Below are 16,077 nucleotides of genomic sequence, written 5' to 3' on the forward strand. Positions count from 1 at the left end.
GAGGTCACATTGATTCCTTTATCTTCACCTTGGTGAAAAAAATCATATTTTAGTTCAAAGCTGTTCAAGTAAGTCCTTGCTCCGTTTTCCCACCCTGTCTTCAGTGATATTATTTGGAGTCAGCAATCAATGGATTCCATCCCTCTGAGACTTGCTTAACCTACAGCTGCTGATAGAATACAGGCAAGAGCTTGTTACTTTATCTGAATTGTCCATTGCTACCTTAATGAGTGAAATGGTTAAGTAGAGGAGGGGGCGAGTCTTAAGGAATGTGTGTACCATTTGAGCTGAATATTTCAGTGTGTATAGGGAGAGGGAGGGTGAGAGAGAAATCCACTTACATCACTAGAACTGCATTGAGTGTGAGCCTTGCAGGTTAAGAGACAGACTACAGTGTCTTGCTTTCTGCAGGAAGCAGCAATGCCGTTTGTTTCCTAAGAGGAATTTTTTATTTAGAAAAGGAAGCTTTCTATCCAGGAAATGGCTTTCCTTGTGCGTTGCTATGCCAACTGCCTGCAGCCATGGTCCTCCAAAGTAAGCACAATAATGTAATTATATTGGTGTATTGCATTCAGACTCATGATTTTTGAGATTGTGTGTGTGCATGTGCTGTGTTTCTGTTAGTGGCTCTCTTGCTAGCAGGCATGCTTGTGTTGAGTGTGAGGGACAGACATCATTAAATTAAATGTCCATCAGTGTCATGCTGCCAAGATTAATTGTGCAAACTTGGTTAGTGGAGTGGGACAGAGATCACTGGTCACCACTCTGTCAGCATCATTAGCAGCTAGGGAGGAGTTCCCGATTCACACGCTCTGCCCTGATTTTTTTCTTTCTTTCATTTTCTTTTTTTCTCTTGGTTGGAGGGTTCTGTATGTGTGATTGCAGATGAAACAAGGGTATTAACAATGCTTGGCTGAATGCTAGAGCCTGGTTCTTATACCACCCTGACTAATATAATTCTGTGTTAAGCCTTTTTGAGGGGAGTCTGTGTGCAGTCAGCCATTTTAGCTTTTTTCTTTTTTTTTTTTTTTTCCTCTCCTTTTCTTTTGCCTCTTGTTCTTCAATCTCAGAAATGATCTTGTTCTCTTGGAAGACTGAGAGCTGTGTGAGGTTTTCTCAGTCTTGTCATAGCCTAGGATGGTTAGAGTTTCAATGTTATAAAAATGGAGACGAACACTGTTGTTCGGATTCCTTTTCTGGTCTACAAGTGTGAAGGGTTTTTAAGCTTACCAGTAGTGACACTTTAAGCTGCAGCTTGGTTTTCCCTCCTCCCTTTTTTTTTTTCCTTTTTCTTTTAATTTAATGCTGTAGAGGGTGACTTGCCATCGTGAGAGATTGGTACATGATGTGTAAATTCAGTTCAGCATATGTTTCTTCATTATGAAACCACTAGCAATCCCAGCTAACCATGGAGTTATGGGCCAGCAGGAGAAACACTCAGTAAGTATCGCAAATGCTGCTTGTGCTTTGATAGCACGTCATAGAGAACTGCTTTAAAATGGGAATTGTTGCTCTTTCTCTTCAGGGAAAACAGTTTTTGTAGAAGGTATAGTAGTCTGCTTGGAGAGGAGGGGAGGGTGCATTAAAGCTGGCTTGTTCTTCCAATGTTGTAATTTTTAAAAATTTGAAGCAAGACCAGCAATTTATTTAAAGCAAAATCACTAATACTGAGAAATATTGGGCAGCTAATTTTTATATTTAGAAACTAAAGCTTGACAGTTCAGCTTCGACTTAGTACTTGAATAGTTTTCAAAAAAATGTTTTTGTAGTTGAATTTAATGAGAAATCATCAGAAAGGTTATTGAGAACGGGAATCTATAGTGAGGAATTCGCATGTAGGTTTGAGTGTAGGAGGGAGAGCTTTGGTTATTGATTTGGTAATAAAGCGATCAGTGGGACTCATCTGATTTCTTAACATGTATTCATCACTTATGGAAACACAGCTTTTTTTAATGCCACAAAAAATTATTGCTTCTTTATAATTGATCCCATGAGTCAGCTATGTGTTTGTCATGCTGAAATCCCATGGGCAGCTACCGAGAAAGACTTTTCTATGCCTAACACCAAGTCAGAGCCTCCTGTTTCAGGAATGTGAGTTCTCATGGTGCTACTTTTATATCACCATGTTGGGAGTTTTCTGGCATCACACAAATTCACATGATTGATACATACATAAATATATTCAATCGTGAAAATGCAAACGCATAAATTTAGACAGCCTGTATAGTAGTCTAGGTATTTTTGAAATGCCTACTTCTACATCCTAGCATCTAGCAGGTTATTAAAGTATAGGAATTGTCTTTCATGTATTCTAAAGAAGATAAGATGGTAAACTTTAAAAGTGGAAATAAGTCGCTGAGGCTTTGTAAGTTTATAGATAGAAGGCCATGAATGTAGAATATTTAGATGCTGAGGTTCATGAGTACAATTTGGTTTTGTTCATTGTTAGGAACAAAATTACTAACTAAATCCAAGAGATGTTCTTAGACTAAGTGATTCTTTGCGCACTGTCTCACCTCAGGAATGAGCCATGCGAGCTGCGCTTAAGGCAGCGGCTGTGTTGGAAGCATGTTATGACGCTGCACCGAGAGCCCAGCCCGTTACCATGAGGTCCTCGTGGTACTTCACTAATTAACTCTCTTTGGATCAGATCCAGAAAAAGACCAGCCCTAAACTTAATTTCACTAGTAGGAAAGGTTGTTGTAAAGAAGTTCCATTGTAGTTTGATTTTCTTAACGGGGCCTTTGAAATTAAACTCTTCTGTAGTCATGATTTTCCAGGTAAAAGTAAGAGTGTTAGTTCAGCTATGCTTGAGGAACCTTAGAAACAAAAATTAAACCCCAGGCTTTTTACTTACCTTTTTCATATGTCTTTTCTTAAAGTGTGTGTATGTTTGTGTGTGGGGGTGTTTAAATGAATAATAATATAAATTTAATGAACAAAGAAAATTGATGGCTGGGTGTGGTGGCTCACGCCTATAATCCGAGCACTTTGAGAGGCAGAGGTGGAAGGATTGCTTAAGGCCAGAAGTTTGCTACTATGGGCAACATAGTGAAATCCATCTCTATTTAAAAAAAGAAAAGAAAATTGTTAAAACCGTTCACTGCCAGGAGGAGGAAAACACATTACTACATTTATGTAAAGGCCAGTTGGGACAGATATTACCCAATAGTGCCTAAACTAGAGTCCCTGATCTTATTCTGTAAGCCTGTTTGTTTCCTGACAAGTGCCTATATTTTGCTACAATTTAGAGTGATATTAGACTAAAGTAACACTAGTGATAAAATAACTTTGGATCAAGCAATTTATAGAAATCTGTGAGTGGTATTGCCCATGACACTTTGGTTAGAACTTGAAATACTAGAATTTGCCATCTCAAGATGTCACATGCAGCAGAGTTGGCAGCTTACAACATCAAGGTCTGGCTGTATAATTGTTGACTAGTCCTTTGGTTCTATTGAGTTTGCTGTGTAATAATCAGACCTTTAAAATTTTAATTGTATGTGAGGAGTTGAATAAGAAAATAGTTACTCAGGCTCTCAATAAGTGACTCAATATAGTTGTTGGGTAAAAATGAGTGAGAAGGCCCCTCTTTCATCCTATGAGGCTTTATAGTGTCAGAGCTAATTTCAAATGAATAGAATTTATTAAATTCACAAATACTTCTGTTTTGCTTATTCAAAAAGTTTGTGGGCTTTTAAGTGGCTTTGCTTCTTTGACTGCAGCAGGTAGTGCAGTACTAGAAAACAAAAACCATTAAATTTGGGGTGGGGGCATTTTTTTTAGCTATGATTAGGCACAAATAGTAAGCTCAGTTTTTCTACTTTATCAGAACCTTTCAGATCTCATGGGCTTTATTCTTTATTTGTTGTCTGTCTCATTCAGTGCATACCTCAGTTGCCGGCACATAATAGACGTACGATAAATACCATTGAATTTCTCTTTAAATTTTTGGATTAATAAAGTCTCAACTTTTTTAACTAGTAATTTTTACATATTTTATTACACCTCCCCCTATTTCCATTTTATGTGGTTGATTGATAATACTAAGATGAATACCCATGTGTCACCAGAAATGCACCCAGCACTGGGCTGTGTTTTTATAGTCATGTGGTGCTTTTCAGTTAGTCTTCGGAGGAATCTCATGGTTTTGTGAATATAAAAATGTAAAAATCTTGTGATTTCTTTTTAAAATAAGAGGAGGTTGCTAACATTTCAGAAATGTATTATGAGACTGCATTTTTCAAAAGACTCCTGTAGACCATTAGTTGAATAGACTGTTAATAGATGGTAGATGAAAAAAGTTTTATAGGCTCATTAAGTTAGGGAAATTGTTAGCATTAAAAGTCTCTTTACTCAATTTACCAACTGTTGTGTTTTTTTAAAGTGGAGCTCTTCTCTCCCCATCTTGCCCAGCTCAGATGCCTTTGAAAATTTCCCAATATAGGATGGATTTGAAACTTTGTAAATTAAAAAAAGTTTTAAAATAAATTGATTTGGTGCTATCAAACTGATAACATGGTTTTAAATTTTACATTTTTGTAGAAATTGATTTATGTAGTGTGCTATACTTAAATCACAGCCCAAGTCATGATTAAATAATAATAAAAATGGTAGTACACATAAGAAAGTGCCCTACTTAAATATAGGGAATAAATTGCAGTAGCTGTAACTTATTGAGTAATGTATTGCATAGCAGACACTATATTACATATTATCTCAATTCTTAAGAAACAGTATTACCTTTTTACATATGAGAAAACTGAGATTAAAAAGAATTTTTTTCAGGGACATATTACTAGTAAGTGGTAGAGCCATCATTGGTACCCCAGTTTGTCTGATTTTATAGCCATTGCCTTAACCACAGACTTGTACTACCTACCCCTATGTGACCAAATTTAGTCTACTTCAGGTGTGTAGACTGCATAATTATCAGAGTTAGTATTAACTAGTGGAATACACAACTTGAAAAAGTGCTTTTTTCCTGCAGCTATCTTTTTCCTGGCATATGTGACATTCCAAGCAGCAAGAATATCATGATCAAAATCATTTTATAAAACTTTCATTGCTTGGCTGAGTCAATAATACATCTATCCATTTTGAAATCATGTTGAGACTTGAGTTGAGATGGTCAGGAATAGTTGCCATTTAGCCCATTTCCTTTCTTCCTTCTGCTTTTCTGTGTTTGGTCTTACCATGTACATTTCCTTTTTGCTGCTTAACTCTTTAAACATACGCTCCATGTCTCAACTTCCTCTGCCTATTCCCTTTGTAACCTCTGAGTGCCTGACCGTGGCCATTTGTGTTCTACCAGAAGTCCTGAACCTTGCCATTTTGTCTCGCCTGTTTCTGCCCCAGTGAACCCTGCATATACAGTGCAGCCTGACTTCAATCATGATCACCTCCCTTAAGTCCATACAGGCCACGATTCATTTGTTAGCCATAAGTATCATTTTCATCATACATAAGCCCCTTAACCAAGAAGGATATAATGTAACTTAACCATATTTTCTAAATTGCTATTGGTCACTTAAGGCCCTCTATAATCTACATTCTTTCCCTTATAAACATACAAGATTGTGCTCTTTTATTTTAGGACAAGCTGGCTTGATTATAAACACTTCAGGCTCATTTTCTTTTCTCATTTCTCAGCTTGCTGTGTTCTTGGCTTGACTTTGACTTGGTCCTTATCTCTTCATATTTATCTCTATCTTAATGAATCAGGATCACTTAATATGCAGTGCTTAATTTTATTAATTCTTCTAATTGGTGCTTATAAATTTGTTTGGTCTTTGCAGTTAGATGACAGATTACATCTGGAATGAATTCCATGTGTTCAAAGGGTATGGTTGGAATTTAAAACTGTTTATCAGCTGTTAAGAGTACAGTATAGAGAAGGATTTTCTAGGCTGGAAGAATAACATGTGAGGGCCCAAGGCAGGAAACTATAGAAGAATATGAGGGTTTGAGGAAAAACAATGAAATCATCACTGTTAGAGTAGACTGTGTTAGAGAGAAGTAGGTCAGTACAGGTGATGGAGTGGAGGATGTTAGAATACCAGATAAATTAATGACTATTTTGAAGATGCAGCAAAGGAGTGTAACCTCTTTCTTCACCTCTCCTTCCTATCTTTCAACTGGAACAGATTTAAGAAAACTCAATTAACAAAAAATGTGTTATATTACCATGACAGTTTGACCTTGTCTGTAAACATTGGGTAGAGTGTCTCTTTAGTATATTTTGATTGATGGATTTTCCTTAGCAATGTAGAAAAAAAGCACCAGGACTAATTGTAGAGGCTAGGTTATGCCTCTTTTGGGTAAGACTCCACCTCTTCATTATCTGATCTTTATTTTGTCTGTTATAACAGATATATTTCCTGAGATGAAATAAACTTATCTCTTGGCATGATTTTCCACTGTGCTTGCTAGCAGAGGGGACTGAGAGGAAGCATATCCTGTTGTTTTATTCAAGGACAAGGTCATCTTGCCTTGGATTTGGGCCAAGAAACCCTGGCAACAAATAATAGATCTTTTTACCCCCATTAGAAGTGAAGAAATGTATTTAGAAACTTGCCAAGACATTGCATACTCTGCTTATATGTGCTTTTTGTGTCACAGGACATAGTAAAGTAAGATCTTTGCTTTTAGTCAAAATAAGTATACCTCATATCTTTGCCTTTAAATATTTTTAGTAATGATCCATTAAAAAATCTGTTGGAAAATAAAATCAATTTAGATTACTGAAAAAAAGAATGATTAACTTAAGAAAAAGCAAATGCTCAAAATGTGTCATTAGGAATTCAGTTATTCTCCTTTAACCATTTAGCCCTAGTAAGATCAGTAATCAGTTTCTTTCTTTCTTTCTTTCTTTCTTTCTTTCTTTCTTTCTTTCTTTCTTTCTTTCTTTCTTTCTTTCTTTCTTTCTCAATTTAAATATTATATAAAATGCATCAAAGTAAATGCTCTGTAAGTTTGGTCTCATAGGTATAAGTATTCCTTAAACATAACCTGACATTTCTTTCTCTTTTTTTCGAGATGGAGTCTCGCTCTGTCGCCTGGGCTGGAGTGCAGTGGCGCAGTCTTGGCTCACTGCTACCTCCATCTCCCGGGTTCAAGCAGTCTTCCCCCTCAGTCTCCCAAGTAGCTGGGATTACAGGTGCGTGCCACCACGCCCAGCTAATTTTTGTATTTTTAGTACAGGTGGGGTTTCGCCATGTTGGCCTGGCCGGTCTTGAGCTCCTGACCTCAGGTGACCTGCCTGCCTTGGCCTCCCGAAGTGCTAGGATTACAGGCTGAGCCACCACGCCCGGCCCTAACATTTCTTTAATCTGCCTCCAGAGGTTTGACCAAACTCTTAATTTATTCAGGTAATCTATTAAGAATTCCTCCAGAGTAATGCTTAAGTTTTCTTCATTTTCTTTTGTTTAACAATAAAGGTAAAATCCTTTCACAGTTACTTTAAATCCTTAATGAAGTACTTTTTAATGCTTACTTTATATCCCTGATTTTTAAAAAAGTAACATTACTGTCATGTCTGTAGTGATCTTTATAAACTTTTGAAAGCCTTTTCAATTTAGATCAAATAACTTTAATCATTATATATTTTATTTGAATATGGTTTGCTTATAAGCTTTTTTGAAAAATATTTTAAAAATAAAACGAATGTCTAAATATATCTACATAGAGATATAACCATGTGAGCATGTATAAAAATATATACGTGTGCGTGTATAAGTGTGTTTGTAATTTAAATGAAAGTTTGTAAATGTGTCCTTAAGGTCTCTATTTAAATTTCCTTGTTCTGAGATCTTTGTTCTCTCTGACCTACTTTTTCTTCATCCTTAACGAGTGGTCTTTATCTTTATAGACATGACACATGCTTGTGATATTTCCATATAGTATTAAGATGCCAGTGCTATTAGTATTGTCTTAGGTATTACACAGAATGGGCTAAATGGAACAGTGTCTGATTTTTGGAACATAAATTAAGAAACTAATAGAAAAAATATATTAGGGAATGTAGATATAAATTTGCTACTTTAAAGCTACTTTAAAGACATGATATAACAGAGCACACTTTAAAAATGCAACAAATTGCATCATACAAGAAGTTCCCTTAAGCTCACCAATGGTCCCTGCCACTCACTGTCTTTCCTATTGGTGCAGAAACACCCATGTCATAAAGAATTAATCACTTGTCACTCTCTGCCATTTCTTCTTCTTAACTGAACCCCTAACATAGGCCTTATATGTAGTTATGTTTTTCTCTGTCTCTCGTGTGTGTGTGTGTGTGTGTGTGTGTGTGTGTGTGTGTGTGTATGATATATGAGAATCTTATAATTGCACAGTCTGTGATACATCATATCTTTATAACTTATCAATCATCCACTGTCTATATTTCTTTTGTACTCTGAAGTCACTATATAAATATGCCCCATATGCTTCAGATCTCTTCATTCTACATCAATAGACCAAATTCTCTTTTACAACTTACACTGGATATTCATCATAAAGGCTGTTTTCAGAGACATCTTAGGCATGAGTTAGCCTTAGATTTATTAACAAAGTGACAGCCTGAAAAATTTCTTTACAATTATCAAAGTTACATTCTTCTTTAATGAACTCTAGAGAAATACATTATTGGTTTGTAATATTGACTTGGTTTGATTATTAAATGAAACATACCCTCCTTTCCCCTTTATCGATACATCTGTATACATGTACTTATTTCATATGTATGTGTATGTGTAAATATAATTAATCCATACTTTAATTTTTAATTTTAGTATGTAGAAAAAAACTAGAATTAAGATTTGCTTACTTTATTAGTAAAAATTGAGTTTTGAGAATATACGCTCTATCTCTTGTCATAGATGTTTTATTTTCTTACTCTTCTATAATAGAGTTGAAAATACAGATTACAATGGAGTCATCTTATTATAGGGTATTTTCAGTGGGCAAAAATTTACTAAAAGTGGCAGAAAAGAACATCACACTTTTCATGATAAAGGAAGACAATAAAACATGAATGTGAAAAAGCTGAAGAGTTGTAATTTTTTCATTCCCTCTCTTTTCTTAGGGAAAAAAAAACGGGTAACCCAGACACTTTTACTCTGTGAAGTATTTTTATTAAGTGGAAGCACTCTTGTTTATTTTTCTCAGTAATTAAGAAATATTTGGAGTTAAATGGGAGTATTCTGCCATATAATTTTTATGGGTACTATGGAACTGAGAAGGACTAATAAAGGTACTATAGTAATTTTAATACTTAAACCTTAGGTACTTAGTATCCCAGTATCTTTAATTGTAGTGAAAAAGGAGATTGCCTTGAGTTCCTTGTCAGTAAAGATTTAGAATGATTCTATAGTCACTGGGCCTATAGTGGCTGGGTTGGTGGGGTTTGGGGGAAGTTCAGCAAAATTGAGCAATGAGTAAATTTATGCCCCAGGTTTCCAGTGATTGAGAATGTGAAGGATGAAATTAGCTTTTTCTTTATGACTAATTGATTTTACACTTACTTGTTTTCTTAAAAGTATACTTTTGTTCATTTTAAATGGCAACTTAAAGATATGGATGCATAGGACTTCCTATTTCCTGTTGAAATTAATATCATTTGTTGAAATAGTCAAATGTCAAAATCATAGTATTTTAGGGATAACATTTACCTAAATATAAAAATAACTTAAAACAATTTTATATAGAAGAGGGTACACTTTGAATAGCTAAACTAATTTTCACTGCTTTGTTTTTGTTACGGTTATTTGAGCAGCAGGTTGGTCTGTGTCTTATTTGTTATAACAAATAAAATTTGAAATAGCTTAGCTAAAGAAAATATAAACACAGGTGACAACATTTCTTCTCCCTTTGCACTGTATATAGTGAACCTTTTATCACTAAAATCTTTTAATGTGTTCATTTTAGTTGGGCATATTCCCAGATTTCTTTACCGTTCATTGTCCTTATTTCCCCTCTGAAAAAAATGAGCAACCTGATGTAAATGAGAATTAAAGCATGTCTGTTGAACATCCTCACAAAAGTTCATTAGTAGTGATATTAAGAAGTTTTTTCAAAAAAAAAAGGAAATATGGATAACTTTAAAATGTCTTCTAGCTGTTTCTCAGAGCAAGACTAGTTAGGGACTATCTTTTTTTAATTATTATTATACTTTAAGTTGTAGTGTACATGTGCACAACGTGCAGGTTTGTTACATATGTATACATGTGTCATATTGGTGTGCTGCACCCATTAACTCATCATTTACATTAGGTATATCTCCTAATGCTATCCCTCCCCCCTCCCCCTACCCCACTACAGGCCCAGTTGTGTGATGTTCCCTATCCTGTGTCCAAGTGTTCTCATTGTTCAATTCCCACCTATGAGTGAGAACATGCAGTGTTTGGTTTTCTGTCCTTGTGATAGTTTGCTGAGAATGATGGTTTCCAGCTTCATCCATGTCCCTACAAAGGACATGAACTCATCATTTTTTATGGCTACATAGTATTCCATGGTGTATATGTGCCACATTTTCTTAATCCAGTCTATCATTGATGGACATTTGGGTTGGTTCCAAGTCTTTGCTATTGTGAGTAGTGCCACAATTAACATACGTGTGCATGTGTCTTTATAGCAGCATATGATTTATAATCCTTTGGGTATATACCCAGTAATGGGATTGCTGGCTCAAATGGTATTTCTAGTTCTGGATCCCTGAGGAATCGCCACACTGACTTCCACAATGGTTGAACTAGTTTACAGTCCCACCAACAGTGTAAAAGTGTTCCTGTTTCTCCACATCCTCTCCAGCACCTGTTGTTTCCTGACTTTTTAATGATTGCCATTCTAACTGGCGTAAGATGGTATCTCATTGTGGTTTTGATTTGTGTTTCTCTGATGGCCAGTGATGGTGAGCATTTTTTCACATATCTGTTGGCTGCATAAATGTCTTCTTTTGTGAAGTGTCTGTTCATATCCTTTGCCCGCTTTTTTATGGGGTTGTTTGATTTTTTCTTGTAAATTTGTTTAGTTCTTTGTAGATTCTGGATATTAGCCCTTTGTCAGATGGATAGATTGCAAAAATTTTCTCCCGTTCTGTAGGTTGCCTGTTCACTCTGATGGTAGTTTCTTTTGCTGTGCAGAAGCTCGTTAGTTTAATTAGATCCCATTTGTTTAATTAGATCCCATTTGTCAATTTTTGCTTTTGTTGCCATTGCTTTTGGTGTTTTAGTCATGAAGTCCTTGCCGATGCCTATGTCCTGAATGGTATTGCCTAGGTTTTCTTCTAGGGTTTTTATAGTTTTAGGTCTAACATTTAAGTCTTTAATCCATCTCCAATTAATTTTTGTATAAGGTGTAAGGAAGGGATCCAGTTTCAGTTTTCTACATATGGTTAGCCAGTTTTCCCAGTACCATCTGTTAAATAGGGAATTCTTTCTCCATTTCTTGTTTTTGTCAGGTTTGTCAAAGATTAGATGGTTGTAGATGTGTGGTATTATTTCTGAGGGCACATCAGAGTCATCTGGAAGTCCTAGAACACAGGGTTTGAAGAAACCCAGGATAGAATGGGGTTGAAGATGACCTGCTCCCACATTGGTTTAAATACTCTACTCTTATAATTTATATGATTTTATCATTCCTACCCCTAAGGAACCTGAGTACTGAAATATATTGAAATAACTACTCAGGGTTCCACAGGAGCTCTCGAAATTTAGCAGTGGGTGGAAGGCGGGAATCTGACTTAGAAGTGAAACTGCTGCTAGTAACCCATCTATAAAAATAACCCAAGTTAGGAAATAGTTAGTACATGTGATTATGAAAACTATAATCTGGCCAGTTGTGACCTTTGTGAAGAAAGTTACGTAAAGAGAAGGGATTAGTAAGAGCTGTAGCATTGTGGTCAGAAAACTCCAGAACCAGTAACTTGGATTTACAATCTGGCTTCATCACTCATTCGCTGTGTGACCCTGGCTGTGTGGTCTTTTAACATGGAATCTTCATTTGTAAAATGGAGGTAATACGGTTGTGTGAAGATTAAATGAGGTAAAACCTATAAAGTACTTAGAATAATACACAACCCATAAATACAATTCTTATATTTTTGTAGGAAGTTTTTATCCACACTATCCAGGAGGTAAGGAAAATTAAACCTGTTACACACGTGAGGCAGAGACAGTACACTTGAGTACACTTGATGTTTCCCTTTCCTTTAGGTGACTGTCCTTAAGTTGGTTTGCCTTTTCCATCCCCTACGGTTCCATACTCAGCAGCAACCTTCTTTTTACTAGTTCATTATTAGAGTGAAAAAACAACAGTAATGATATCATTAGTTAAAATGGAAGGCTCCCTTTGTTCCAGGCAGTGTTCGAAACTCTTCATTTATGATCTCATTGAATCCTCACAATAATGTAAGAGTGCTGCCTCCACATACTAAAGAAATCAGGACATAGAGAGGTAAAGTAACTTTCTCACAGTCACAAGCTAACGCCTGGTGGAGCCATTGGCAGGTTTTTCTTGTACGTGCAGATGCATGCGCACGCACAGGTCTATTTGGGGAAGCTGCATGAAACACCTTCCTTTGTACATAGGTTAAAGGATGGACAATTCCTTTTGTTTTCAGTGTGTCCTGTGGATTATAATTCTAATCAGAAAGTCCTCGAACAGTTTATTCCTCCCTCAACATTTAGAAGTGATTTTCTTTCAAGTAAGTTTCAAAGGGCTTTCATAAGTGCCATGTCGTAACTGCTACCATCCCTGACATAAAATGTAGAGTAACTTTACCTTGATCTCAATGGAAATAAAAGCAGTATATTTTATTGTTCCTCAGTCTTAGCCAGAATTGCAAGAATACAATTTTGTTTTGAAGAACTACTCTTTAACTCTTTATATCCACATCCACATTTTCTTTTCTTTTTCCTTTTTTTTTTGAGACAGGGTCTTACTCTCACCCAGGCTGGAGTGCAGTGGTGTGATCTCAGCTCACTGCAACCTCCACCTCCTGGGTTCCTGTGATTCTTCCACCTCAGCCTCCCGAGTAGCTGGGACTACAGGTGCGTATCACCACACCCAGCTAATTTTTGTGGATTTTTTTTGGTAGAGATGGGGTTTCACCATGTTGGCCAGGCTGCTCTCTTAACTCCTGAGCTCAAGTAATCTGCCCGCCTCGGCCTCCCAAAGTGCTGGGATTACAGGTGTGAGCCACTGTGCCCGGCCTATATGCACATTTTCTCTTGTTAATTTAACCTTTTAGGAGCAGGTCACCATGCTTATCTGAAATTTCCCATCCATATGGTTCGCCAGAGGTCTTTCATGTTATCCTTTTTTTAGACTTGGATTTAGAAAATAATCCTGCTTTGACTTACTATTTGGGTGATATGATTGCTCTCTTAATTTGTTTCTAGTTAGATAAGTAATTTATAGGGAGCTAATTTTAGTATATAGCCGGATGAAGGAGTTTTCTCAGCCAGACTGACTTAGCAACATTGTCTTAGCCATTTAAAATACATATAAATAAATAATAATTAGGTTTGTCTTTATTACGGTTTTGACTGTGAAATAATAATTAGACCTTTTAGAAAGCTGTATTAAGATATATTTTAACCTAGCCACAACGGAGCACCCTGAAATCCACTGATGATGGATTCTTCTTTCTTGGCACTGCTAGTGGCACTATATTCGGTCTCTACTCTCTGAAAAGAGTGTATGTCTGATCATGATGGCTGTGGTGTTAGAGTAGGTAGGACAAGAGCACTTCCCTGAAGGAGTTCGTGTCAAGTGCTGGCTTTATTAGTCACAGGTATATACATTACTCCTTTCTCTGTATTGTTCCCTCCTTTAAGTGTCATCCAAAGCTGCTATGGAAAAAGATATTGTCGTCAAGTTTGTTTATAATAAAGTTAATGAGTGACTTTGAATTGTGAACCCTGAGCCTGAGAACAAACTGGATCTATATTGAAGTGTCATACATAGTGTAGCAAAACTTATTAACAATACTCATTGTATATTATCTTCAAGCATTTTAATAAGCATATTTAAAACAAAATCTTGATTTTTTTCAACTGTGGACCTCTACACAGCAATAGGAAAGAACTATTCCAACTAGGTTTTTTGTGTAGTAAAACAATAAAGTACTTTATTTACCAAGGACCTTGATTTGAGTTCTTGTTCTGATGTTAGCTAGCTGTACAATGCGTAGACAAGTAATTTAACTACTTCTTTTTTTTTTTTTTTCCTGAGACGGAGTCTCGGTCTGTCTCCAGGCTAGAGTGCGGTGGCTCCATCTCAGCTCACTGCAACCTCTACTTCCGCCTCCCGGGTTCAAGCGATTCTCCTGCCTCAGTCTCCCGAGTAGCTGGGACTACAGGCACGCACTACCACGTGCAGCTAATTTTTGTATTTTTAGTAGAGATGGGGTTTCACCATGTTGGCCAAGATGGTCTCGCTCTTTTGACCTCATGATCTGCCCGCCTTGGCCTCCCAAAATGCTGGGATTACAGGTGTGAGCCACCGCACCTGGCCATCATTTAACTTCTTAAAGTTATTGATTTCTCCCTTCAAAATGGAGATCATGATTGTAATACTGGTCTTACCTCACAATATTGTTTTGAAAATTATTGGCTGGGCATGGTGGCTCATGCCTGTAATCCCAGCACTTTGGGAGGCTGAGGCAGGTGGATCACCTGAAGATCAGGAGTTCAAGACCAGCCTGGCCAACATGGTGAAACCCCTTCTCTACTTAAAATATTAAAAATTAGCCAGGTGTGGTGGTGGGTGCCTGTAACCCCAGCTACTCGGGAGGCTGAGGCAGGAGAATCGCTTGAACCCAGGAGGCGGAGGTTGCAATGAGCTGAGATCATGCCATTGCACTCTAGCCTGGGCAACAAGAGTGCAACTTGATTTCAAAAAAAAAAAAAAAAAAAGAAAAGGAAAAGGAAAATTGTTAATAGTTACAGTAATAATTAAAATTATTTTATTAAGTGCTCTGTGTGTGTTTGTGTGTGTGATTTTCTTTAGTCATCTTACAATATTAGGAGCAAAATGGGGTTCTGCTCCTCATTCTATAGATGAAAACTTGAGGTTTAAATGAGAAAACTGGAGTTCATGTCATCAGAATCTTTTTGCAAACTGTAAAGCTTATGTGAATGCCAGTTATTGTTGTTAGATTGTAATGCTCGAGTCATTCCTATGTGGGTTGGAACCCAACTCTTCTCTGTAGCTGTGTGACAGTAGGCAGATTGCTTCAATGTTCAGAACCATTTTTCCTGATCTGTCAAATACTGTTAATGATGCATACTTCATAGGTTTTTGCAGGAATTACATATCTGGCACATGGCCTGACACACGGTGGCATCCATGAATTTGACTCCTGCTTTTTCAGCTAGGATATTTTCATTTTCTTGATTTTTAAATAGAATGTTGATGGTGATTCAGAGATTTATTTTTCTTTATTTGATTTTAACTTCATAGAACATGATTTTCTGTTGGACATCTTAGCTTAATTACGATTTAAGATCCTTTATTAACTACTCTTTACACATTGATGCTGGTTTGCAAAATAGCTCATAAAAGATCATAATTGATATGAAAAATTTCTATTATTTTTTCCCTAAGTACTTCAATTTTTTCCCACTTATTAAGTGATTTTGTGCAAGTCGAGCTGCTTAGTAAGACCTGTCTTTGTAGTCATTTCGTGTGTGTGTGTTTGCAAGGAGGTATTTTTAGATAGTTTAGCTGAACAGCAATCTGACGTCTTTAGAGGAGACATCAGTTCATTATGTGGATACAAATTCTATGCTTTCGGCTTTTATACACCAAGTCTTAATTTAAATCTGTTTTTCTTGCCTTTTCTAACGAAAGAGACTACATCATGGTATGTATTCTATTTCTTCCTAAGGCTTGCCTTTCTGGTTAACCTTTGCTTAAGAAATGATCAAGGTAGAAATGTCTTTATTTGCTCACAACTTAATATAGATTATAGAAGCATGGGATTTGGGGCTGTATTTAAATATGCCATTATACATTATGCTATACAGTGTTTTTCTATTGCAATGTGATTCAAGGATTTAAAATAGTCATTATGGG

The 16,077-nt window shown here is 36.4% G+C and overlaps 1 protein-coding gene across 7 annotated transcripts in view, besides 1 other annotated feature; it reads left to right on the top strand.

The window, feature by feature from the left end:
- Positions 1 to 16,077, top strand: part of RAPGEF2 (Rap guanine nucleotide exchange factor 2) — a 257,095-nt gene that overhangs the window by 163,697 nt on the left and 77,321 nt on the right. For 3 of the 7 annotated variants that reach the window (NM_001351728.4, NM_001351727.4, NM_014247.5), the window contains exon 1: positions 1,034 to 1,440. The exons of the other annotated variants lie outside the window; for them this stretch is intronic. In NM_001351728.4, coding sequence (NP_001338657.1) covers positions 1,381 to 1,440 — 60 coding nt within the window. In that variant the 5' untranslated portion in view covers positions 1,034 to 1,380. Of the gene's footprint in view, positions 1 to 1,033; positions 1,441 to 16,077 lie in introns of those variants that run through there. 7 annotated transcript variants of the gene reach the window in all.
- Positions 864 to 913: an enhancer, noted in NCBI's record as "active region_22092". NCBI's record gives its function as "activates an Ori minimal core promoter by ATAC-STARR-seq in GM12878 lymphoblastoid cells {active_cell/tissue: GM12878}" and the evidence as "EXISTENCE:reporter gene assay evidence [ECO:0000049][PMID:35858748]".

Source organism: Homo sapiens, chromosome 4 (genome assembly GCF_000001405.40).
Source record: "Homo sapiens chromosome 4, GRCh38.p14 Primary Assembly".
In the NCBI taxonomy this organism is placed as follows: Eukaryota; Metazoa; Chordata; class Mammalia; order Primates; family Hominidae; genus Homo; species Homo sapiens.